We start from the raw sequence: 25,900 nt of genomic DNA on the forward strand, positions 1-25,900 counted from the left end.
AATGTCCTCCAGATGGTAGGTGCATGTCACAAGGACATAGGAGTCACCTTGAAGGAGTTTGCACTGGCCAGATCTGAGGCAATTTGATCATCATAATAAATAAAAATGTTAACAGATTATAACCATTGAATAAAATAGGGATCTATGAGTCTGCTCCAATAAATAAATAAATAAATGCAAGTCACATGTAGCTGGTGGCTACCTTATTGGATAGCACAGCTCTAGAGGATCTCACATATTTACATGAGGAGTCATGTATAAAAATGCCTATTGTAACATTGTTTGTAATAGCAGAAAATTAGAAGCAATATAAAAGTACATCAGAAGTAGAATGAATAAATAAAATTGTGGTTTATTTAGACAATGAAGCACATACAGCAGTGAAATGAATAATTTACTGTTACATGGGCCAACGTGGATGAAGCTCAGAGACATAATGTTAACTGAAAAAGCAAGTCATAAAAGAAAACACAAAATAATCTTTGATATAAAATTCAAAAGCAGGCAAAACAAGATATATAAGGATACAAACATAGCTAACAAATTAAATAGAAACAAGAAGCTACAAAATTTAGGGTAGTGGTTGTTTTTGTATAGGGGGAGTGCTGTGTGTATTGGGAAGGGCTTTTAAGGTAATATGTACCTGGGTAGTCATGTCTTTACTTTTTCTTTTTTTTGCCTGACACTTTCCACATGGAGATACATGTCATTATTTTTAAATTGCTTTTATATATGACACTTTAAGTTTTTAAATTAAAATTTTTTATTGAGGTGAAATTCACATAACCATAAAACTAACAATTTTATTTATTATTTTTTATTTTTCCATAAGTTATTGGGGTACAGGTGGTATTTGGTTACATGAGTAAGTTCTTTAGTGGTGATTTGTGAGATTCTGGTGCACCCTTCACCCAAGTAGTATACTCTGCAACATATTTGTAGTCTTTTATCCCTTGCCCCCCTCCTACTCTTTCCCCCGAGTCCCCAAAGTCCATCGTATCATTCTTATGCCTTTGCATCCTCACAGCTTAGCTCCCACATATCAGTGAGAACATACGATACTTGGTTTTCCATTCTTGAGTTACCTCACTTAGAGTAATAGTCTCCAGTCTCATCCAGGTCACTGCAAATACTGTTAATTCATTCCTTTTTATGGCTGCATAGTATTCCATCATATATACATATACCACAGTTTCTTTATCCACTCGTTTATTGATGGGCATTTGGGTTGGTTCCACGATTTTGCAGTTGTGGATTTTGCTGCTGTAAACGCGTGTGCAAGTATCTTTTTTGAATAATGACTTCTTTTCCTTTGGGTAGATACCCAGTAGTGGGATTGCTGGATCAAATGGTAGTTCTACTTTTAGTTCTTTAAGGAATCTCCACACTGTTTTCCATAGTGGCTGTACTAGTTTACATTCCCATCAGCAGTGTAGAAGTGTTCCCTGTTCGCTGCATCCACACCAATATCTACTGTTTTTTGATATTTTGATTATGGCCATTCTTGCAGGAGTAAGGCAGTATCTCATTGTGGTTTTGATTTGCATTTCCCTGATCATTAGTGATGTTGAGCATTTTTTTCATGTGTTTGTTGGCCGTTTGTATATCTTCTTTTGAGAATTGTCTATTCATGTCCTTATCCCATGTTTTGATGGATTATTTGTTTTTTTCTTACTGATTTGAGTTTTGTAGATTCTGGATATTAGTCCTTTGTCAGATGTATACATTGTATAAATTTTCTCCCACTCTGTGGGTTGTCTGTTTACTCTGCTGACTGTTCCTTTTGCCTTGCAAAGCTCTTTAGTTTAATTAGGTCCCAGCTATTCATCTCTGTTTGTATTGCATTTGCTTTTGGATTCTTGTCCATGAAATCCTTGCCTAAGCCAATGTCTAGAAGGGTTTTTCCGATGTTATCTTCTAGAATTTTTATAGTTTCAGGTCTTAGGTTTAAGTCCTTAATTTATCTCGAGTTGATTTTTGTATAAGGTGAGAGATGAGGATCCAGTTTCATTCTCCTACATGTGGCTAGCCAATTATTCCAGCACGATTTGTTGAATAGGCTGTCCTTTCCCTGCTTTATGTTTTTGTTTGCTTTGTTGAAGATCAGTTGGCTGTAAGTATTTGGGTTTATTTCTGGGTTCTCTATTCTGTTCCATTGATCTATGTGCCTATTTTTATACCAGTACCACACTGTTTTGGTGACTATGGCCTTATAGTATAGTTTAAAATCAGGTCGTGTGATGCCTCCACAATTGTTCTTTTTGCTTAGTCTTGCTTTGGCTATGTGGGCTCTTTTTTGTTTCCATATCAATTTTAGCATTGTTTTTTCTAATTCTGTGTGGAATGATGGTGGTATTTTGATGGGATTGTGTTGAATTTGTAGATTGCTTTTGGCAGTATGGTCATTTTCACAATATTTATTCTACACATCCATGAGCATGGGATGTGTTTCCATTTGTTTGTGTCATCTGTGATTTCTTTCAGCAGTGTTTTGTAGTTTTCCTCGTAGAGGTCTTTCACATCCTTGGTTAGGTATATTCCTAAGTATTTTATTTTATTTTTGTAGCTGTTGTAAAAGGGGTTAAGTTCTTGATTTGATTCTCTGCTTGGTCGCTCTTGGTATATAGCAGAGCTATTGATTTGTGTACATTAATTTGTATCCAGAAACTTGGCTGAGTTTTTTTTATCAGTTCTAGGAGCTTTCTGGAGGAGTCCTTAGGGTTTTCAAGGTAAACGATCATATCGTCAGCAAACAGTGACAGTTTGACTTCCTCTTTAGCAATTTGGATGCCTTTTATTTCTTTTTCTTGTCTGATTGCTCTGGCTAGGACTTCTAGCACTATATTGAAGAGGAGTGGTGAGAGTGGGTATCCTTGTCTTTTTCCAGTTCTCAGAGGGAATGCTTTCAACTTTTCCCCATTCAGTATTATGTTGGCTGTGGGTTTGTCATAGATGGCTTTTATTACACTAAGGTATGTCCCTTGTATGCCGATTTTGCTGAGAGTTTTAATCAAAGTGATGCTGGATTTTGTTGAATGCTTTTTCTGCATCTATTGAGGTGATCATGTGATTTTTGTTTTAATTCTGTTCGTGTGGTGTATCACATTTATTGACTTGTGTATGTTAAATCACACCTCCATCCCTGGTATGAAACCCACTTGATCATGCTGGATTATCTTTTTGATATGTTGTTGGATTCTGTTAGCTAGTAGCTTGTTAAGGATTTTAGCATCTATGTTCATCAAGGATATTGGTCTGTAGTTTTCTTTTTTGGTTATATCCTTTCCTGGTTTTGGTATTGGGGTGATGCTGGCTTCATAAAATGAATTAGGGAGAGTTCCTTTTTTCTCTGTCTTGTGGAATAGTGTCAAAAGGATTGGTACCACTTCTTTGAATGTTTGGTAGAATTCTGCTGTGAATCTGTCTGGTCTTGGACTTTTTTTTTGTTGGTAATTTTTAAATTACCATTTCAGCCTCGCTGCTTGTTATTGGTCTGTTCAGGGTATCTAATTCTTCCTGATTTAAGCTAGGAGGGTTGTATTTTTCCAGGAATTTATCCACCTCTTCTAGGTTTTCTACTTTATTTGCATAAAGGTGTGTTCATAGTACCCTTGAATGATCTTTTGTATTTCAGTGGTGTCAGTTGTAATATCTCCTGTTTCATTTCTTAGTGAGGTTATTTGGGTTTTCTCTCTTCTTTTCTTGGTTAATCTTGCTAATGGTCTATCCATTTTATTTACCTTTTCAAGGAACCAGATTTTTGTTTTATTTATCTTTTGTATTTTTTGTTTGTTTCAATTTCATTTAGTTCTGCTCTGATCTTGGTAATTTCCTTTCTTCTGTTGGGTTTGGGTTTGGCTTATTCTTGTTTCTCTAGTTCCTTGAGGTGTGAACTTAGAATGTCAGTTTGTGCTCTATCAGTCTTTTTGATGTAGGCACTTAGGACTATAAACTTTCCTCTTAGCGTTGCCTTTGCTGTATCCCCAAGGTTTTGATAGGTTGTGTCATTATTCTCTCAGTTCAAAGAATTTTTAAATTTCCTTCTTGATTTCATTTTTGACCCAATGCTCATTCAGGAGCAGATTATTTAATTTTCATTTATTTGCATGGTTCTAAAAGTTCCTTTTGGAGTTGATTTCCAGTTTCATTCCACTGTGGTCTGAGAGAGTGCTTGATATAATTCTGAAGTTTCCTTTTGGAGTTGATTTCCAGTCTTATTCCACTGTGTGTGGTCTGAGGGAGTGCTTGACAGAATTTCAATTTTCTTAAATTTACTGAGGCTAATTTTATGGCCTATCGTATGGTCTACCTTGGAGAAAGTTCCATGTGCTGTTGAATAGAATGTGTATTCTGTGGTTGTTGGACGAAATGTTCTGTATATATCTGTTAAGTCAATTTGTTCCAAGGTGTAGTTTAAATCCATTGTTTCTTTGTTCACTTTCTGTCTTGATGACCTGTCTAATGCTGTCAGTGGAATACTGAAGTCCCCCACTATTATTTGTTGCTGTCTATCTCATTTCTTAGGTCTATTAGTAATTGTTTTATAAATTTGGGGTCTCCAGTGTTAGGTGCATATATGTTTAGGATTGTGATATTTTCCTGTTGGACAAGGCCTTTTACCATTATATAATGTCCCTCTTTGTCTCTTCTAGCTGCTGTTGCTTTAAAATTTGTTTTGTCTGTTATAAGAATAGCTACCCCTGCTTGCTTTTGGTGTCCATTTGCATGAAATGCCTTTTCCCACCCCTTTACTTTATGTTAGTCCTTATGTGTTAGGTGAGTCTCCTGAAGGCAGCAGATGGTTGGTGAGTTCTTATCCATTCTGCATCTTTTAAGTGGAGCGTTTAGGCCATTTACATTCAATGTTAGTATTGAAATGTGAGGTACTGTTACTTTCATCATGCTTTTTGTTGCCCATGTACTTTGATTTTTTTGTTTTTTGTTTTTGCTTTTTAACATGTATTTTTCTTTTATAGGTCCTGTGTGATTTATGCTTTAAAGAGGTTCTGTTTTGATGTGTTCCCAGGATTTGTTTCAAGATTTAGAGTTCCTTTTAGCAATTCCTGTAGTGGTGGCTTGGTAATGGTGAATTCTCTCAGCATTTGTTTATCTGAAAATGACTGTATCTTTCCTTCATATATGATGCTTAGTTTTGCTGGATACAAAATTCTTGGCTGATAATTGTTTTGTTTGAGGAGGCTGAAGATAGGGCCCCAATCCCTTCTAGCTTGTAGGGTTTCTGCTGAGAAATCTGCTGTTAATCTGCTAAGTTTTCCATTATAGGTTACCTGGTGCTTTTGTCTCGCAGCTCTTAAAATTCTTTCTTTCGTCTTAACTTCGGATAACCTTATGATAATGTGGCTAGGCGAAGATCTTTTTGCGATGAATTTTCCAGGTATTCTTTGTGCTTCTTGTATTTGGATGTCTGGGTCTCTAGCAAGGCCAGGGAAGTTTTTCTTGATTATTCTACTGAATATGTTTTCCAAGCTTTTACGGTTCTCTTCTTTCTTAGGAACACTGATTATTCTTATGTTTGGTTGTTTAACATAATCCCAGACTCCTTGGAGACTTTGTTCATATTTCCTTACTCTTTTTTCTTTGTCTTTGTTGGATTAGGTTAATTCGAAGACCTTGTCTTTGAGCTCTGAATTTCTCTCTTCTACTTGTCCGGTTCTATTGCTGAGACTTTCGCAGAGCATTTTGCATTTCTAAAATTGTGTCCACAGTTTCCTGAATTTTTGACTGTTTTGTGTTTAAGCTATCTATTTCTTTGAATATTTCTCTCTTCAATTCTTGTATCATGTTTTTGGATTTCCTTGCATTGGGTTTCGTCTTTCTCTGGTCCCTCCTTGATTAGCTTAATAACTAACCTCCTGAACTCTTTTTCAGATAAATCAGGGACTTCTTCTTGGTTTGGATCCATTGCTGGTGAACTAGTGTGATTTTTTGGGGGGTGTTGAAGCACCTTGTTGTGTCATATTACCAGGGTTGGTTTTCTGGTTCCTTCTCATTTGGGTAGGCTCTGTTAGAGGGAAGGTCTAAGGCTGAAGGGATGTTCCCTTGATGTAGTAGTCTCCCCCTTTTCCTATGGATGTGGCTTCCTATGAGTCGAAATGCAGTGATTGTTGTCTGTCTTCTGGGTCTAGCTACCCAGCGAGTCTACCTGGCTCCCGGCTGGTACTGGGGGTTGTCCGCAGAGTCATATCATGTGAACATGAACCATCTGTGGGTCTCTCAGCTGTGTATACCAGCGCCTGTTCCTGTGGAGGTGGCAGGGGCAGGGTGGGGGGTGTGCAATAGATTCTGTGAGGATTCTTAGCTTTGTTGGTTTAATGCTCTTTTTTTGTGCTGGTTGACCTCCTGTCAGGAGGTGGTGGTTTCCAGAAAGCATCTGCTATAGTAATATAGAAAGGGACCGGCAGTGGGTGGGGCCCTAAAACTCCCAAGATTATATAACCTTTGTCTTCCACTACCAGGGTGGATAGGGAAAGACCATCAGGTGGGAGTGGGGCTAGGTGTGTCTGAGCTCACACTCTCCTTGGGTGGGCCTTGCTGTGGGTCTGTGGAGGGTGGGGGTGAGATTCCCAGATCACTGGAGTTGATTACCTAGGAGAATTATGGCTGCCTCAACTGAGTCATGCAGGTTGTCAGGGAAGTGAGGGAAGGCCAGCAGTCGCAGATCTCACCCAGCTCCCAGCAAACGAAGGGCCTGTCTCATACCCACTGTGCCCCCACAACAGCCCCAAGTCTGTTTCCAGGCGGAGGACATGACAGGCTTGAAAACTTGCCCCCGGCTACTCACCTTCCAGCTGTGATAGAAAAGGGCTTGGTTCTTCCCCTGCTTGTGGAGTCTGCACACCGGATTTGCGCCCTCCCCTGAGTTCTGATCAGGAGGCTTCTTGCCTGTTCAAATTGTTACAAAGTTCATCTAGAGATTTCCTTCTCCCTGTGGAGCTTTACCCCCTGCTCCTCTGGTCATCATCCCGCTGGATCCCTGTGGTGCCAGGCAGGAATAGCCTGTGAGGGGACGCAGCCAGCTCCCCGGGCCTTTCTGCTGCTTCCTCTACCCCTATATTTCGCTCGGCTCTCTAAATTGACTCAACTCCAGGTAAAGTCAGAAACTTGTCCTGCAAACAGAACTTCAGCTTCTCCAATGGGAGTGTGTGTTCAGGAGAGGAGGGTCTCCCTTTCCCATTTCCGCTGTTCGGGCGCTCACAGTATTTGGGGCGTCTCCTGGGTCCTGCAGGTGCAGTCTGCTTCCTTCAGAGGGTCTTTGGGTCCTCTTGGGATTGCTTGGGATTCTTGCAGTTGATCTGGAGCTGAAATTTACAACGTGAGCTTCCACCAACTGCTCTGTCCAGAGCTGCAATCTAATCTTGCCCTCCGTCCGCCATGATTGCCAAACACCTGAAACTAGTTTAAAGTGTCCTCTTCAGTGGCATTACTGTGCGACTACTCCATCTATCTAGTTTCACAACATTCTCATCACCCCAAAAGAAAACCCTATTACCATCAAGAAATCAATTCCCATTTCTCACTTCCACAGCATCTGGAAACTACCAATCTACATTCTTTTTCTATGCATTTATCTGTTCTGAATACCTCATATTAAATAGAATCATTAAATATGTGACCTTTTGTGTTTAGCTTCTTTCACTTAGCATAATGATTTTGTGGCTCATCCATGTTGTAGCATGTATCAGTTTTTCATTCCTTTTCATGGCTGAATAATATTTCATTGTAAGTAAATACCACAATTTGTTTCTCCATTCATATGTTGATGGACATTTGGGCTCTTTCCACCTTTTAGCTATTGTGAATAGTGTTGCTATGAACATACAGGTACATGTATTTGCGTACTAGTTTTCATTTCTTTTGGGTAAATACCTAGGAGTGGAATTGCTGGGTCATATGGCAACTCCATGTTTAACTTTTAGAGTAACTGTCAAACTGTTTTTCACAGCACCTTATATGTATACTTTACAATAAAAAATTTTTAAAAACCCAATAAAAGGCTGGAGATGTTAATGGAGTTAACTGGAGACGAAGTCTTCCCCTTTATCTCTACTAAGTATTTCCACCTCTGCTTTTCATCTAGTCTGTGCATTTTCTTTACCTTCGAAAACAGATGAAGGGAATTTTCCCAGAAGCCAGTACTTGCTTTTTTTTTTTTTTCCCTAAGACAGAGTCTCACTCTGTTGCCCAGGCTGGAGTGCTGTGGCGTGATCTCAGCTCACTGCAATCTCTGCCTCCCGGGTTCAAGCGATTCTCCTGCCTCAGCCTCCCGAGTAGCTGGGATTACAGGCGCCCACCACCACTCCCAGAAGCCAGTACTTCTGAATCCCAGGAGAAGCCTGTGTCAACAGCTTTTCTGAAACCTGGGAAATGTAACTGAAAAAGTAAAATATTTCCAGTAAGCATTTGTTATGTGCCAGGCAGTCTGTTAGCTGTTTCACGGATGTCATCACTTTGAAACTAATCAACTCTCCTGTGATTTTAATATTATCATGGTTTCAGTTTGTCTCTCTTGTGGTATCTAGCACAGAGCTGGAGGAACTCATTGAATGATATGGCTGGATAGGCAAGAGGTGGTGAATAAGAGGTTCAGTGTTCTCTGGGCACAGTGAGAAGGCCTGGCAAGGGCAGTGCCCGCCATATGGGCGCCACAAGCAGGCTACAGAAAGGGTTCTTCTTCAAACTGATATTCTTTAAATATTTGTTCAGCATTTATTTGGCAGGAGAAAGGAAAAACCAATTTTTTTTTAATAAAAATTGCATACCTTTCTGGATGTTCAAAATAAGGAACATATTATATGCACCAAACTTAGCATAATATTTTAACTTATTTGGAATTGCCTTTCATTTCATGGTTTTTCCATTTCTTGTAATTGGAGTGTGTTAGTCACTCACACTCACTAAGGGGAAAAGTAACTAACTGCCCATGGATAGAGACAGGAAGTCTTGTTTAAATATATTTGAAAAGTCTTTTGGCAAAATTATTTCTACTTTTAAGTAGTTTTTGTTCCCGTTTTAGTTTTTTCCCCCCCTGAACCTAACAACTCCTTAACAGGCACATTAAAATATTTTTATTTTGATAATAAACTGGATGACTTGTTGTAGACAGCCTTACACTGTGCATTTTTCAGTTTTAGGCTTTGAGAGTAAGGCTACTGCTGACCCTGGCTCCTTCTCCCCAAGTCAACTGGATAGTGTTAGCCTCAGGGCCTGGGGGGTATGAATGTGCACAATTGCAAAAATATTCCATAAATAGTATGAGCTTGTAAGGGGTTTGTTACTATTGTGTTTATTTCCATGTCAGTTAACTTTGGTAGAGAGGATGGGACCAATTTTTGCTTCACCAGTTAGTTGAGAAGTTTCTTATAGAAATCTGAGTTAATTAGCATAGATTTAATCCCATGATATTGTTTCCTTTTGTGTAGTGGGAAGCAACTGGCTAACTGGTCCACTACTTAAACTGGCTTGTTATTTGTGTGGGAAAAGGAAAAGGTCATTCTTAACCAAGAAGGAGGCTGTTCTTTAGATTTCAAGTCCATGTGCCAAGAATCTGGGGAAAGAGAAAACTTCTGTGCTTGTGCCTGGATCCCATCCTCTTCTGTTTCTTTAGCTACTTCACCAATTATCCCTTTCTTTTCAGAAGTTTCAACTTACCTTCTATTAGCATTGGAGGATGTTCAATATTTTTCCATTGGAAAAAGGAAACCCACATCCCTTTGGCTACTTCCCCATAAGCCTTCTCCTTCACACAAAACAATTTCTTGAATGAGTTGTTCACACTTACGTTTCCTCACCTTTTACCCACTCATCAACCCACTGTGATTTGGCTTTTCCCTCTGCCCTCTACTATAATTGCATCTACCACCATCAACCAACTATCTCTTACTTGTTAAATTCAGTGGCTTTTAGCTGTGTTTTCTCTCTCCTTAATTTGTCACCACATTTATCTCTGTTGACAATTTTCCCCCCGCTAGAAACTTACTCTGGCTTTCAGAAACTTCTCTGGTTGCTGGGGTCTGAATGTGTACTCCCTTCCCGCAAATTCATATGTTGAAACCTAACCTCCAAGGTGATGGAATTAAGAGGTATAGCCTTTGGGAGGTGATTAAATAATGAGGAGACCTCATAAATGGGATTAGTACCTTTATGAAAGAGGCCTGAAGGATCTTGTTTGCCCCTTCCACTGTGTGAGAACACAGCTAGAAATCACCATCTATGGGGAATGAGCCCTCACCAGACACTGAAATTGTCAGCAGTTGGATCTTGGACTTCTACACCTTCGGACCTGTAAGAAATACGTTTCTGTTATTTATAAGCTATCCAGTTTATGGTATTTTGTTGTAGCAGCCCAAACAGACTAAGACACTGATTCTCCCACTATTCCAATGGGTCTCTTTCAGTCTTCTTCATGGGCCTTTCTCAGTCTCTTTTATATATTCTTTTCCTTCCTATTCTCTAAATTTGAGTACTTTAAAAAAATTTAGCTCTCAGTTAAAAAAAATCTCATTTATTCCCCTGGCTTTCCCATGCTGGAGAGGCCACATATAGGAGCTGGCTTCAGTTATCATCTGTATGCTGATGGCTCCTAGATCTTTCCCTTTTGCTCATTCCTCCCTCTTGAGCTCTAGACATTTATATTTGAAGGCCTCCTGATTATCTGCCCCGGCAGTCTTGCAAGTATCTGAAACTCAACATATATTAAACTCTGCTTATCATCTTCATCCCCCTAGTCCTTCTAAACTTGCTCCTCCTCCTGGCTTTCCCAAGTCAGCAAATAGCCCCTCTGTCTGCTCAGTTATCCAAACAGAAACTTGAGCATCAGCCTAGAGTCAGCCCTTTCCTTCGAAGTCTTACGAATTCTCTCTTTTCAACAGATCCATGTTCTAGGTGATGTGGTAATCTTGCCTCTAGTCATTTTCCCTACAGTAAGATTGATCTTCTTGGAGTCTAGTTCTGATCACATGACTTCCATGCTCAAAAATAAGCACTAGATCACAATAGAAAAATGGATAAAGAACACAAATAGACAATTCCCAGAAGAAACACAAATGGACTGGGCTGGGCATGGTGGCTCATACCTGTAATCCCAGTGCTTTGAGAGGCTGAGGCAGGAGGAGTTGGAGCCCAGGAGTTGGAGACCAGGCTGGGCAACATAGTGAGACACCATCTCTGCAAAAAAATTTAAAAAAATTGCCAAACATGGTGACATACACCTATCATCCCAGCTACTTGGGAGGCTGAGTCAGGAGGATCTCTTGAGTCCAGGAGTTCAAGTCCATAGTGAGCTATGATTGTGCCATTGCACTCCAGCCTGGGTGGCAGAGTGAGACCCTGTTTTTAAAAAAAACCCACAAATGGGCAATAAATATCTAAGAAGGGGCTCAATCTCACTTATAATAAAAATTAAAGCACCATGATACCAGTCTTCACTTGCCAGATTTGCTAAAACCTAGGGTTAGTGAGGGGAAATGGACACTCATACACAGATGGTGGGAGTGTAAACTGGCAGAACCTTTTGGAGGCAATTTGGCAGCATGTATCAGAATATTAAGCATGTATACCCTTTGATGCACTTTTAGATTTTATTCTACAGAAATACACAAGTATATATATATACAAAGACATTTATTACATTATTGTTCACAATAAGGAATTGGAAATAATCGAAATATCAACAATGAAATTATTAAATAAGTAATGGTATATACAATATATACATAAAAGATTACTAAGCTGCTTTTAAAAATAATAAAGTATCTGTTTAACACGACATGGAAAGATGATGACAATTTATTAAGCAGAAAGAGAAAGTTTCACAATAGTGTATTAATCTCATTTCTGTAAATAATTATTTTTTGTATATATATAAAAACTTTTGGAAATATAGGTACAAACATTAACTGCGGGAGTAGGAGTTACAGGAGTAGGGAGGATGGGGGCTTATACATTCTGTTTTGCGCAATTTTTTTTTTTAATTTTTAAAGACAAGGTCTCACTGTATTGCTCAGGCTGGTCTTGAACTCCTGGGCTCAAGCAATCCTCTTGCCTCGGCCTTCCAAAATGCTGGGATTACGGATGTGAGCCACTGTGCCCAGCCTGTTTTACATACTTCTATACCCTCGATTGAGGATGTTTTGTTTCCTGAGGTAGAGATATGATATGGGGATGGAGTTAGGTGGGAAACAGATCTAGGGATATGGATGTTACCTGGTGCCAATTACAATCTGGGAAGTCCACAGAAAGACTGAGGCAACCATTAGCATTGCTAGAGGATGATGCAGATTATAGTGAACCAGGCACTGGTACAAAGAAGTTAGATTTTTTGGGGTGCTGTTCACTAGCAGAAACATTAAGGCCCCAGGTTTTTTCCACCTTTCCACTTGGCTATTTGAAATATGTCTGCCTGTTTTATTTATTTATTTGTTTTTATTTTTTGTGGGTACATAGTAGGTGTATATAATAATGGGGTACATGAAATTTGCTGATACAGGCATGCAATGTGTAATAATCACATCATGGAAAATGGGGTATCCATCCATTCAAGCATTTATCCTTTGTGTTACAAACAATACAATTATACTCTTTCGGTTATTTTAAAATGTGCAATTAAATTATTATAGACCATAGTTACCCTGGTGTGCTATCAAATTCTAGATCTTATTCATTCTTTCTATTTTTATTTTGTACCCATTAACCACCCCAACTTCTCTCTCACCACCCCCGCACCCCCATTACCCTTCCCAGCTTCTGGTAACCATCCTTATACTCTCTATCCCCGTGGGTTCAGTTGTTTTAATTTTTAGCTCCCACAAATAAGTGAGAACATGCAATGTTTGTCTTTCTGTGCCTGACTTATTTCACTTAACATAATGGCCTCCAGTTCCATGTTGTTGCAAATGGACTGGTTCTCATTCTTTTTTATGGCCAAATAGTACTCCGTTGTGTATATGTACCACATTTTTCTTTATCCATTCATCTGTTGATGGACACTTAAGCTGCTTCCAAATCTTGGCTATTATGAACAGTGCTGCAACAGACATGGGAGTGCAGATATCTCTTCCTTATAATGATTTCCTTTTTTTTAAGTACATGCCCAGCAGCGGGATTGCTGGATCATATGGTAGCTCTATTTTTAGTTTTTAAAGGAACTTCCAAACTGTTATCCATAGTGGTTGTACTAATTTACATTCCCACCAATAGCGTGTGAGGTTCCCTTTTCTCCATATCCTCTCCAGCACTTGTTATTGCCTGTCTTTTGGTTAAAAGCCTGTCTGCCTTTTTTGTAGGTGAGCTTCCTCATGGTTTCACAATGGCTGTCACAGCTCCAGACAACACATGAAGAAAGCTGTGTCCAAAGCATAAAGTGGACCTTCCTTTTTCTATGTTTCTTTTAAAGATCAAGAAAAACTTTTCTGGGAGAAAAACTTTATTAGTCAGAGTCCTGGCAGGAAACAGATCGCTACACAATGACAGGTTATCTTTTTCATAAATGGCTGCAGCAATCTCACTCATCCCACATACTTTAATACAATGAGACCTTACCATTTCCCCATTAAGAGGTGAAGTCAAGTTCTCCTCTCTTTGAATATGAGTGGGCTTGTGAATTTATCAGTCATTAGCATATAGCAGAAATGATGGCTGTGTGACCTTTTAGGCTAAGTCATATAAAATGATGCAGCTTTTGCCTGATTAATTGGAACACTTATACTTGTAGCCCTGAGCTGCCATGTAAGAAGTCCAACTGAGACAGTCATGCTGTAGAGACCAAATGTAGAAACTCTGGTCAACAGCTCAGTTGAGCTCTTAGCTGACAAGCAGTATCGACTATAAGCCATTTGAGTGAGCCTTCTTGGACATCCAGTAAAGTTTTCAGATGACTGCAGCCCAAGCTGACATCTAACTACAACTGCAAGAAAGACCCAAAGAGAACATTTTCCAGCTGAGCCCTTCCCAAATTCCTGACTCAAAAATTGTGAGAAAAATAAAATGATTGTTTTAAGCCACTAAGTTTTGGGGTATTTTGTTACACATCACTAGTAATTGGAACACACAGCCTGAGCAACATGGCAAAATCCCATCTGTACAAAAATTACAAAAATGAGCCGGGCATGATGGCCTGCACCCATAGTCCCAGCTACTTGGAAGGCTGAGGAGGGAGAATCGCTTGAACCCAGGAGGTTGAGGCTGCAGTGAGTTGTGCTCACCCCACTGCACTCCAGCCTGGGCAACAGAGAGAGGCCCTCTCTCAATAAAAATAAATAAATAATTGTAGGAAAGTCATCTTTGGATTTCCATCCACATCTCAGTTTTCATCACATGCACACCAGTTATCTTCCTTGGTGTAAAATGATAGGAACCATGTAAAGAATTATTGTATTCTTATCTGGTTCCTTTTTCAGCAGTTTCTCTTGTGGCACACATACATTTATACTTTACTTCCCTAATTTCAACATACAAAGCACACAAGGAGATTTTTATTCCACTTTACTTTTAGAGTGCTTATATTTGACAGAGTGGCACCCTGTCTCTTAAAAAAATTATACCAATTTTAATAGATACGTAGTGATTTGGTTTGGATTTGCATTTCTCTAATGACTAATAATGTTGAGCATTTTTTCACTTGCTTATTGTTTATTTGTATGTCTTTTTGTTGAGAAATATCTAAGTCCTTTTCTCCTTTTAAAATTGGGTTGTCTTTTTGTTGAGTTGCAGGAATTTTTTTTTTTTTTTTTTTTTTTTTTTTGGAGACGGAGTCTTGCTCCGTCGCCCAGGCTGGAGGGCACTGGCATGATCTTGGCATGCTGCAACCTCTGCCTCCTGGGTTCAAGCGATTCTCCTGCCTCAGCCTCCTAAGTAGCTGGGACTACAGGCACGTGCCACCATGCCCGGCTAATTTTTGTATTTTTAGTAGAGATGGGGTTTCACTATGTTGGCCAGGCTGTTCTTGAACTCCTGACCTCAGGTGATCCGCCTGCCTCGGCCTCCCAGGGTGCTGGGAGTACAGGCATAAGCCACTGCACCCGGCCGAGTTGCATGAGTTTTTAAATATTATGAATATTAAACACTTATCAGATATATAATTTATAAATATTTTCTTCCATTCTGTGAGGTTGTCTTTTCACTTTCTTGGTAATGCCCTTTCATGCATGAAATTTGTAAACTGATGAAATCTAATCTATTTTTTTCTTTTGTTGCTGTTTCATATGTTTTGGTATATTCTAGAAACCATTGCCAAGTCCAGTGTTAGGAAGATTTACCCATATATATTTTCCTAAGGGTTTTATGGTTTTAACTCTTACATTTAGGTCATTGATCAATTTTGAGTTAATTTTTGTATATGATGTGAGGTAGGGGGTCTGACTTCATTCTTTTGCATGTGGAAATTCAGTTGTCCCAGCACCATTTGTTGAAGAGACTGTTCTTACCCTATTTAATGGACTTGTCACCTTTGTCAACAATCAATTGGTCATAGGTGTATGGGTTTGTTTTTGAACTCTCAATTCTATTCCAATGGTCTATATGTCTATCTTTATACTAGTACCACACTGTTTGGATCACTTTAGTAGTAAGTTTTGAAATCAGGAAGTATGAGTCCTCCAATGTTGTTGTTCTTTTTTAAGATCATTTTGACTATTAAGGGCCCCTTGCAATTCCATATGAATTTGAAGATTGGCTTTTCCATTTCTGCAAAAAAAGGATGTTGAAATATGTTTTTTTTTCCTTTGAGACGGAGTCTCACTCTGTCGCCCAGGCTAGAGTGCAGTGGCATGATCTCAGCTCACTGCAACCTCTTGTTTCCAGGTTTAAATGATTCTCCTGCCTCAGCCTCCTGAGTAGCTGGGATTATAGGCATGTGCCACTACACCCGGCTAATTTTTGTATTTTTAGTAGAGATGGGGTTTCACCATGTTGGTCAGGCTGGTCTTGAATTCCTGACCTTGTGATCCGCCTGCCTCGGTCTCCCAAAGTGCTAGGACTACAGGCGCGCGCCACTGTGCCTGGCCAGGTGTTGAAATTTTGATAGGGATTGTTTTATATCTGTACATCCTTTTGGATAGTATTGATGTATTAACAATATTAAATCTTCCTACCCATTAACATGGGACTTGTCTTTTCATTTTTTTCAGGAATGTTTTGTAGTTTTCAGTGTACAAGCCTTTCACATTTTTGGCCAAATTTATTCTTGGTTATTTTATTCTTTTAGATGGTGTTGTAAATTGAATTATTTTTTTAATTTCCATTTTGGATTGTTCATTGCAGGTATATAGAAACACAACTAATTTTTTGTATGTTGATCTTATACTCTGTAACTTTGCTGAATTTGTTTATATACTCTTGTAGCTTTCTTGTGGATTCTTTGGGATTTTTTTTTTTTCCCTTGAGACAGGGTCTCACTCTGTCACCCTGGCTGGACTGCAGTGGCGTGAGCTCAGCTCACTGCAGCCTCGACTTCTCGGGCTCAAGTGATCTTCCTCCCTCAGCCCTCTGAGTAGCCGGGATCACAGGCATGTGCCACCATGCCTGACTAATTTTTGTAGTTTTTGGAGAGACGGGGTTTTGCAGTGTTGCCCAGGCTGTTCTCAAACTCCTTGGCTCAAGCAATTCACCCGCCTCGGCCTCCCTAAGTGCTGGGATTATTATCCTGGCTGGGTGCAGGCATAAGCCACTGCATCCAGACAGGATATTCTATATAGAGGATCATGTCATCTGTGAATAGAGATAGTTTTACATCTTTCTGTATTAGTTTGCTAGGGCAGCTATAACAAAGTACCATAGGCTGGGTGGCTTAAACAACAGACATTTATTTTCTCACAATTCTTGAGGCTTGAAGTCTGAGATCAAGGAGTTAGCAGGAATGATTTCTTTTTTTTTTCTTTTTCTTTTTTTTTTTTTTTTTGAGACAGAGTCTCGCTGTTTTGTCCAGGTTGGAGTGCAATGGCGTGATCTCGGCTCACTGCAACCTCCGTCTCCCGGGTTCAAGCGATTCTCCTGCCTCAGCCTCCCAAGTAGCTGGGATTACAGGCACCCACCACTACACCTGGCTATTTTTTTTTGTATTTTTAGTAGAGACGGGGTTTCACCATGTTAGTCAGGCTGGTCTCAAACTCCTGACCTCAGGTGATCCGCCTGCCTCGGCCTCCCAAAGTGCTGGGATTACAGGCATGAGCCACCGCACCTGGCAGGAATGATTTCTTCTGAGGCTTCTCTCTTTGGCTTGTAGATGTGTCTCCGTGTGTCTTTACATGGTCTCTTTTCTGTGTATATCTGTGTTCTAATCTCTTCATAAGAGCTTTGGCTTTGATATCATGCCATAATGAAAGTAGTTCTCTACCATTAGATATTTTGGTTATTTCCAATTTTCCCTTATTATAGGTAAGGCTATAGTAAATACTTAAACCAGTCATATTGAATTAGAGCCCATCTTAGTGAGCTCATTTTAACTTAATTACCTCTTTAATGACCCTATCTACAAATTCAGCTATATTCTAAGGTACTGGGGTTTGGGACCTCAATATATGCATTTTGGGGGGACAAAATTGAGCCCATAACACTTTCCAATTTGGATGCCTTTTATTTATTGTTCTTGTCAGATTGCTCTGACTAGAACTTCAGTACAACATTGAACAGCAGTGGTGAGAGAGGGCATTCTTGTCTTGTTCCTTATTTTAGGAAGAAAGCTTTCAGTCTCTCACCATTGAGTCAGTCTGATGTTAGCTCTGGTTTTGTTTTGTTTTTTTTTTTTTTTAATAAATGCCATTTATCATGTAGAGGAAGCGCTCTTCTATCCCTACTTTTCTGAGAGTTTTTATCATGATAGGGTGTTGGATTTTGTCAAAGAGCTTTTCTGTATCACTTGGGATGATCATATGTGTTTCTTTGACTTTGTTCTATTAATGTAGTGTATTATATTGTTTGATTTTCTTATGTTCAACCTCCCTTGCATTCCTGGGATAAATTCCACTTGGATATGGTGTATAGTCCTTTTAATATGATGTTGGATTCAGTTTGCTAATATTTTATTGAGTACTTGTGCATATATATTTGTAAGGGATATTGGTCGGTAATATTCTTTTTTTGGGCACAGTAGTATTTATTATAGCCTTATTTATAATAGGGGAAAATTGGAAATAACTAAAATATCTAATGGTAGAGAACTATTTAAATTATGGCATGACATCAAAGCCAAAAGTCATAGTTAATAATATGGATAGATTTGATTATATTACAAAATTTTAAACCACTGTATCAAAATTTTCGGACAATGACAAAGCAGAAAAAGTTTTTATAACATGACAAAATATATGTGTATATACATATATGTTTCAACACATTTTTCCTTTTATTTTTAGTTGACAGGTAATAATTATACATATTTATGGGATACAGACGGATATTATGATACATGTATACAATGTATAATGATCAAATCAGGGTGATTAACATATTCATCACCTTAAAATAAATTTGTGTTGTAAACATTCAAAATAGTCTCTTCTGACTTTTTGAAAATATACAATAAATTGTAGTTTAACCATATTAATTCTACAGTGCTGCAGAATGATAGAACTCATTCCTCATATCTAGCTGTAATTTCGTATCTGTTAACCAAACCCTCCCCAGTCTCCCTTCTCCCTCCCAGTCTCTAATACTCACAATTCTACTCTCTACTTCCATGAACTCAAATTTTTTTTAGCTCTCACATATGAGTGAAAATATGCAGTATTTATCGTTCTATGCCTGACTTATGTCACTTGATATAATATGCTGTAGGCTTGCCCATGTTGCCACTAATGACAGGATTTCATTCTTTTTAAGGTTGAGTAGTATTCTATTGTGTATATATACCATGTTTTCTTTATCCATTCATCCACTGATGGAAACTTAAGTTGATTCCATCTTGAGTATTGTGAATAGTGCTGCAATAAACATAGGGGTGCAGGTATCTTTTTGATATACTGATTTTGTTTCCTTTGGATAAATAATCTGGAGTTGCTGAATCATATGGTAGTTCTATTTTTAGTTTTTTGAGAAACCTCCACATGGTTTTTTATGTCTGCACTAATTATACTTCCACCAACAGTGTATAAGTGTTCCCCTCTCTCCATGTCCTCGCCAACATTTGTTATTTTTGTCTTTTTGAAAATAGCCATTCTGAGGTGATATGATATCTCATTGTGGTTTTGATTTGCATTTACCTGATCATTAGTGATGTTGAGCATTTTTTCCATGTTTGTTGCCATTTGTATGTCTTCTTTTGAGAAATATCTATTTAGTTCTTTTGCCCACTTTTCAATTGGATTATTTGATTTTTTTTGCTTTTGAGTTGTTTGATTTCCTTGTATATTCTGAATTTTCATCCCTTGTTGGATGAATACTTTACAAATATTTTCTCCTATTCTGCAGGCTGTCTCTTCACTCTGTTGGTTGTTTTCCTTTGATGTGCAGAAACTTTTCAATTTTTTTTTTTGAGACAGCATCTCACTCTGTCACCCAGGCTGGAGTGCAGTGGCATGATCTTGGCTCACTGCAACCTCCACCTCCTGGGTTCAAGCGATTCTCCTGCCTCAGCCTCCCAAGTAGCTGGGACTACAGATGTGCGCCACGATGCCCGGCTAATTTTTGTATTTTTAGTAGAGATGGGGTTTCACCATGTTGGCCAGGCTGGTCTCGAACTCCTGACCTCAAGTGATCCGTCCACTTTGGCCACCCAAAATGCTGGGATTACAGGTGTGAGCCACTGTGGCCAGCAGAAGTTAAACTCCTCATGTATTTCTGAAGTATCAGTTGTAATGTTTCCTTTTTCTTTTCTGACTTTATTTATTTGGGTCTTCTCTCTTTTTTTTTTCAGTTTGTCTAGCTAGTGATTTATCAATTTTGTTTATCTTTTCAAAAAACCAACTTTTTATTTTGTTGATGCTTTGTGGTTTTTCTTTAAGCCTGTATTTTGTGAAGTCCTGTTCTGATCTTTATTATTTCTTTCCTTCCACTAATTATGGTTTTGGTCTGTTTTTACTTTTCTAGTTCCTTGAAATGCATCATTAGATTGTTTACTTGAAATTTATTTTTTGGATGTAGGCATTGATTGCTATCAAGTTTCCTCTTAGCAGTGTTTTGCTCTATCCCATAAGTTTGATATATTGCATTTCTATTTTCATTTGTTTCAAGATATTTAAAAACTTTTCTTCTTAATTTATTCATTAACTCAATGATTGTTTATTAGCATGTTGTTTGTTTCATGTGTTTTACTGTTTCCAAAATTCCTCTTATTATTTTTCTTTATTATTATTTTTATTTCAATAGTTTTTGGGGAACAGGTGGTGTTACAGGTGGGGTTTGGTTACATAGATAAGTTCTTTAGTGGTGATTTCTAAGCTTCTGGTGCACCCATCACCCGAGCAGTGTACACTGTACCCAATGTGTAGTCTTTTATGCTTCACACCCCTCCCTCCCTTCCCCCTAAGTCCCCAAAGTCCATTGTATCATTCTTATGCCTTTGTGTCATCATAGCTTAGCTCCCAATTTTAAGTGAGAACATATGATGTTTGGTTTTCCATTCCTGAGTTACTTCACTTAGAATAATGGTCTCCAACTCCGTCCAGGTTGCTGAAAATGCCATTATTTTGTTCCTTTTTATGGCTGAGTAGTATTCCGTGGTGTGTGTGTGTGTGTGTGTGTGTGTGTGTGTGTGTGTGTATTCTTTATTTACTTGTTGATTGATGGGCATTTGGGCTGGTTTCATATTTTTTCAATTGTGAATTGTGCTGATATAAACATGCATGTGCAAGTGCCTTTTCATAGAGTGACTTCTTTTCCTCTGGGTGAGATTGCTGGATCAAATGGTAGATCTACTTTTAGTTCTTTAGGGAATCTTGACAATGTTTTCCATGATTGTTGTACTAGTTTACATTCCTACCAACAGTGTAAAAGTGTTGCCTTTTCAACACATCCATGCCAACATCTATTATTTTTTGATTTTTAAATTATGGTCATTCTTCCAGGAGTAAAGTGGTATTGCATTGTGGTTTTGATTTGCATTTTCCTGATAATTAGTGACGTTGAGCATTTTTTTTCATATGTTTGTTTGCCATTGGTATATCTTCTTTTGAGAATTGTCTATTCCTGTCCTTAGCCCACTTTTTGGTGGGATTATTTGTTGTTTTTTTTTCCTGCTGATTTGTTTGAATTCCTTGTAAATTTTGGATATTAGTTCTTTGTCAGATGCATAGTTTGCAGGTATTTTCTCCCACTATGTGGGTCGTCTGTTTACTCTTTTGCTTATTTCTTTTGCTGTGCAGAAGTTTTTTTAGTTTAATTAAGTTTCCTCTTCGTTTTTGTATTATATAAAACATAATATAATATAATTATAAAATATAATTATATAAAATATAATTATAATTAAATATAAAATATAATTATAAAATATAATTTATATATAAAAATTATATATATATAATTTTTTGCAGCTATTGTAAAAGGGGTTGAGTTCTTGATTTGATTCTCAGCTTGGTTACTGTTGGTGTATAGTAGGGCTACTGATTTGTGTATGTTGCTTTTGTATCCTGAAACTTTACTGAATTCATTTATCAGATCTAGAAGCTTTCTGGAGGAATCTTTAGGGTTTTCTAAGTATAGGATCATATCATCAGTGAACAGTGACAGTTTGACTTCCTTTTTATCAATTTGGATGTCCTTTATTTCTTTCTCTTGTCTGATTGCTCTGGCTAGGACTTCAAGTACTATGTTGAATAGAAGTGGTGAAAGTGAGCATCCTTGCCTTGTTCCAGTTCTCAGAGAGAATGCTTTCAACTTTTCCCCATTCAGTGTAATGTGGGCTGTGGGTTTGTCATAGATGACTTTTATTACACTAAGGTATGTCCCTTGTATGCCGATTGTGCTGAGGTTTTAATAATAAAGGGATGCTGGATTTTGTCAAATGCTTTTTCTGTGTTTATTGAGATGATCATGTGATTTTTGTTTTTAATTCTCTTTATGTGTATTACATTTATTGACTTGTATATATTAAACTATCCCTGCATTCCTGGTATAAAACCCACTTGATCATGGTGGATTATCTTTTTGATATGCTGTTGGATTTGGTTAGCTAGTATTTTGTCAAGAATTTTTGCATCTATGTTCATCAGGGATATTGGTCTGTAGTTTTCTTTTTTGGTTATGTCCTCTCCTGGTTTTGGTATTAGGGTGATACTGGCTTCATAGAATGATTTAGGGAGGATTTCCTTTACTCTATCTTTTGCAATAGTTTCAGTAGGATTGGTACCAATTCTTTGACTGTCTGATCGAATTCAGCTGTGAATGCATTTGGTCCTCTACTTTTTTTTGTTGGCAATTTTTTATTTTCATTTCAATCTCACTGCTTGTTATCAGTCTATTCAGAGTTTATATTTCTTCCTGGTTTAATCTAGAAGGGTTGTATGTTTCCAGGTATTTATCCATTTCCTCTAAGTTTTCTAGTTTGTGCATGTAAAGGTGTTCATAGTAGCCTTGAATGATCTTTTGTATTTTTGTGGTATCAGTTGTAATATCTCCCTTTTCATTTCCAATTGAGCTTATTTGGATCTTCTGTCTTCTTTTCTCGGTGAATCTCATTAATGGTCTATCAATTTTGTTTATCTTTTCAAAGAACCAGCTTTTTGTTTCATTTATCTTTTGTATTTTTTTGTTAAAATTTTATTTAGTTCTGCTCTGATCTTTCTTACTTCTTTTCTTCTGCTGGGTTTGGGTTTGGTTTGTTCTTGTTTCTGTAGTTCCTTGAGGTGTGACCTTAGCTTATCTATTTGTGCTTTTTCTGACTTTTTGATGTAGGCATTTAATGCTATGAACTTTCCTCTTAGCACCACTTTTGCCATGTCCCAGAGGTTTTGATAGGTTGTGTCACTATTATTGTTCAGTTCAAAGAACATTTTAATTTCCATCTTGATTTCATTGTTGACTCAAAGATCATTTAGGAGCAGATTATTTAATTTCCATGTATTTGCATGGTTTTGAGGGTTCTTTTTGGAGTTGATTTCCAATTTTGTTCCACTGTAGTCTGAGAGAGTACTTGGTATAATTTCGATTTTCTTTTGTTTTCTTTTCTCCTTCTTTCCTTCCTTCCTTCCTTCCTTCCTTCCTTCCTTCCTTTCTTTCTTTTTCTTTCTTTCTTTCTTTCTTTCTTTCTTTCTCTTTCTTTCCCTTTCTTTCCCTTTCTTTCTTTCTCTTTCTTTCTTTCTTTCTTTCTTTTCTCTCTCTCTCTCTCTTTCTTTTTTGAGACAGAGTGTCACTTTGTCACCCAGGCTGGAGTGCAGGGCACAATATTGGCTCACTGTAACCTCTGCCTCCTGGGTTCAAGTGATTATCCTGCCTCAGCCTCCTGAGTAGCTGGGATTACAGGCGTCCATCACCACTCCCGGCTAATTTTTATATTTTTAATAGAGATGGGGTTTCACCATGTTAGCCAGGCTGGTCTCTAACTCCTGACCTCAGGCGATCCACCCGCCTCAGCCTTCTAAAGTGCTGGGATTACAGGCATGAGCCACCTCTCCTAGCCTAATTTCAATTTTCTTAAATGTATTGAGACTTGTTTTGTGGCCTATCATATGGTCTATCTTGGAGAATGTTTCATGTGCTGATGAATAGAATGTGTATTCTAAAGTTGTTGGGTAGAATGTTCTGTAAATATCTGTTAAATCCATTTGTTCAAGGGTATAGTTAAAGTACATTTTTTCTTTGTTGACTTTCTGTCTTGATGACCTGTCTAGTGCTGTCAGTGGAGTATCAAAGTCCCTCACTATTACTATGTTGCCATCTATCTCATTTCTTATCTAGTAGTATCTAACAAATACTACTAGGTCTAGTAGTAATTGTTTTATAAATTTGGGAGCACTTATATATAAAAGTGCATATATATTTGGGATTGTGATATTTTCCTGTTGGACTAGTCCTTTTATCATTATGTAATGTCCCTCTTTGTCTTTTTTAACTGTTTTTGCTTTAAAGTCTGTTTTGTCTGATATAAGAATAGCTACTCCTGCTCGCTTTTGGTGTTCTTTTGCATGGAATATCTTTTTCCAACCCTTTACCTTAAGTTTATGTGAAACCTTATGTGTTAGGTGAGTCTCTTGAAGACAGCAGGTACTTGATAGGTGAATTCTTATCCATTCTGCCATTCTGTATCTTTTAAGTGGAGCATCTAGGCCATTTACATTCAATGTTAGTATTGAGATGTGAGGTACTATTCTATTCATCATGCTGTTGTTGCCCGAATATCTTGTTTGTTTTTCCATTGTGTTATTGTTTTATAGGCCCTGTGAGATTTATGCTTTAAGGAGGTTCTATTTTTGGTGTATTTTGAGGTTTGGTTTCAAGATTTAGAACTCCTTATAGCAGTTCTTGCAGTGCTTGCTTAGTAGTGGCAAATTCTCTCAGCATTTGTTTGTCTGAAAAAGACGTTAGCTTTCCTTCATTTATGAAGCTTAGTTTCACTGGATACAAAATTTTTGGCTGATAATCGTTTTGTTTAAGGAGGCTAAAAATAGGACCTCAATCCCTTCTAGCTTGTAGGGTTTCTGCTGAAAAATCTGCTGTTAATCTGATAGGTTTTCCTTTTTTGGTTACCTGATGCTTTTGCCTCACAGCTCTTAAGATTCTTTCCTTCATCTTGACTTTAGATAACCTGATGACTGTGTATCTAGGTGATGATCTTTCTGTGATGAATTTCCCAAGTGTTCTTTGAGTCTCTTGTATTTGGATGTCTAGATTTCTAGCAAGGCCAGGGAAGTTTTCCTTAATTATTCCCCGAAATAAGTTTTCCAAATTTTAGATTTCTCTTCTTCCTCAGGAACACCAATTATTCTTAGTTTTTTTTTTTAACATAATTTCAAACTTTTTGGAGGCTTTGTTCTTTTTTGGATTTTTTTTCTTTGTTTTTGTTGGATTGGGTTAATTCAAAAGTCTTCGAGCTGTAAAGTTCTTTCTTCTACTTGTTCTATTCTATTGTTGAAACTTTTCAGTGTATTCTTCATTTCATCGAATGTGTCTTTCATTTCCAGAAGTTGTGATTTGTTTTTTATTTATGCTGTCTATTTCTCTGGAGATTTTCCTTCCATATCCTGTATTATGTTTTTAATTTCTTTAAATCCGTTTTCACTTTTCTCTGGTGCCTCCTTGAGTAGCTTAATAATCAACCTTCTGAATTATTTTTCTGGCAATTCAGAGATTTCTTCTTGGTTTTGATCCATTGCTGGTAAGCTAGTGCGATCTTTTGGGTGTGTTATAGAACCTTGTTTTGTCATATTACCAGAAATGTTTTTCTGGTTTCTTCTCATTTTGGTAGACTATGTCAGAGGGAAGATCGGTGACTCAAGGGCTGCTGTTCAGATTCTTTAGTCCCATGGGGTGGTCCCTTGATGGAGTGCTTTCCCACTTCTCCTAAGGACGGGGCTTCCTGAGAGCGAGAGTGCAGTGATTGTTATTGTTCTTCTTCTACTGGGCTCTGGGCTGGTACTCGGGAGTGTCTGCAAAGAGTCCTGTGATGTGATCCATCTTCGGGTCTCTTAGCCACGAATACCAGCACCTGCTACAAGTGGAGGAAGCAGGGTAGTGAAGTGGTTGTAGTTTTGTTTAGTGTGCTGTTTTTCTCAAATCCTGTTTATGCTAGCTATGAAGTTGTCACATGGGCAGATTCTGGCCCTCTGGTTAGTCAGAATGTTACAGGCAGTGGAATTAAGTATTATTTTCTCCTTCCTTGGAGCAGGGTTGTTCTGTTATGAGTTGCTTTAACCTTCCACCAGGAGATAGCTTTCAAGAGAGCATCAGCTGTGGTAGTATAGGGAGATACAAGCTTGCCTTAAGGTCACCTGGATAAGTATTCAGGTTTCTCAGGTGA

At 38.0% G+C, this 25,900-nt stretch overlaps 1 protein-coding gene across 4 annotated transcripts in view; it reads left to right on the top strand.

Annotated features, from left to right (window-relative positions):
- The window catches only part of GNL3L (G protein nucleolar 3 like), a 115,636-nt gene that overhangs the window by 77,325 nt on the left and 12,411 nt on the right, over positions 1-25,900 (top strand). For 2 of the 4 annotated variants that reach the window (XM_047442190.1, XM_047442189.1), the window contains exon 17: positions 13,302-14,018. The exons of the other annotated variants lie outside the window; for them this stretch is intronic. The gene's annotated coding sequence lies outside the window, so the exon portion shown is untranslated. Of the gene's footprint in view, positions 1-13,301; positions 14,019-25,900 lie in introns of those variants that run through there. 4 annotated transcript variants of the gene reach the window in all.

The sequence above is a fragment of the Homo sapiens genome, chromosome X (assembly GCF_000001405.40).
Source record: "Homo sapiens chromosome X, GRCh38.p14 Primary Assembly".
Taxonomy (NCBI): Eukaryota; Metazoa; Chordata; class Mammalia; order Primates; family Hominidae; genus Homo; species Homo sapiens.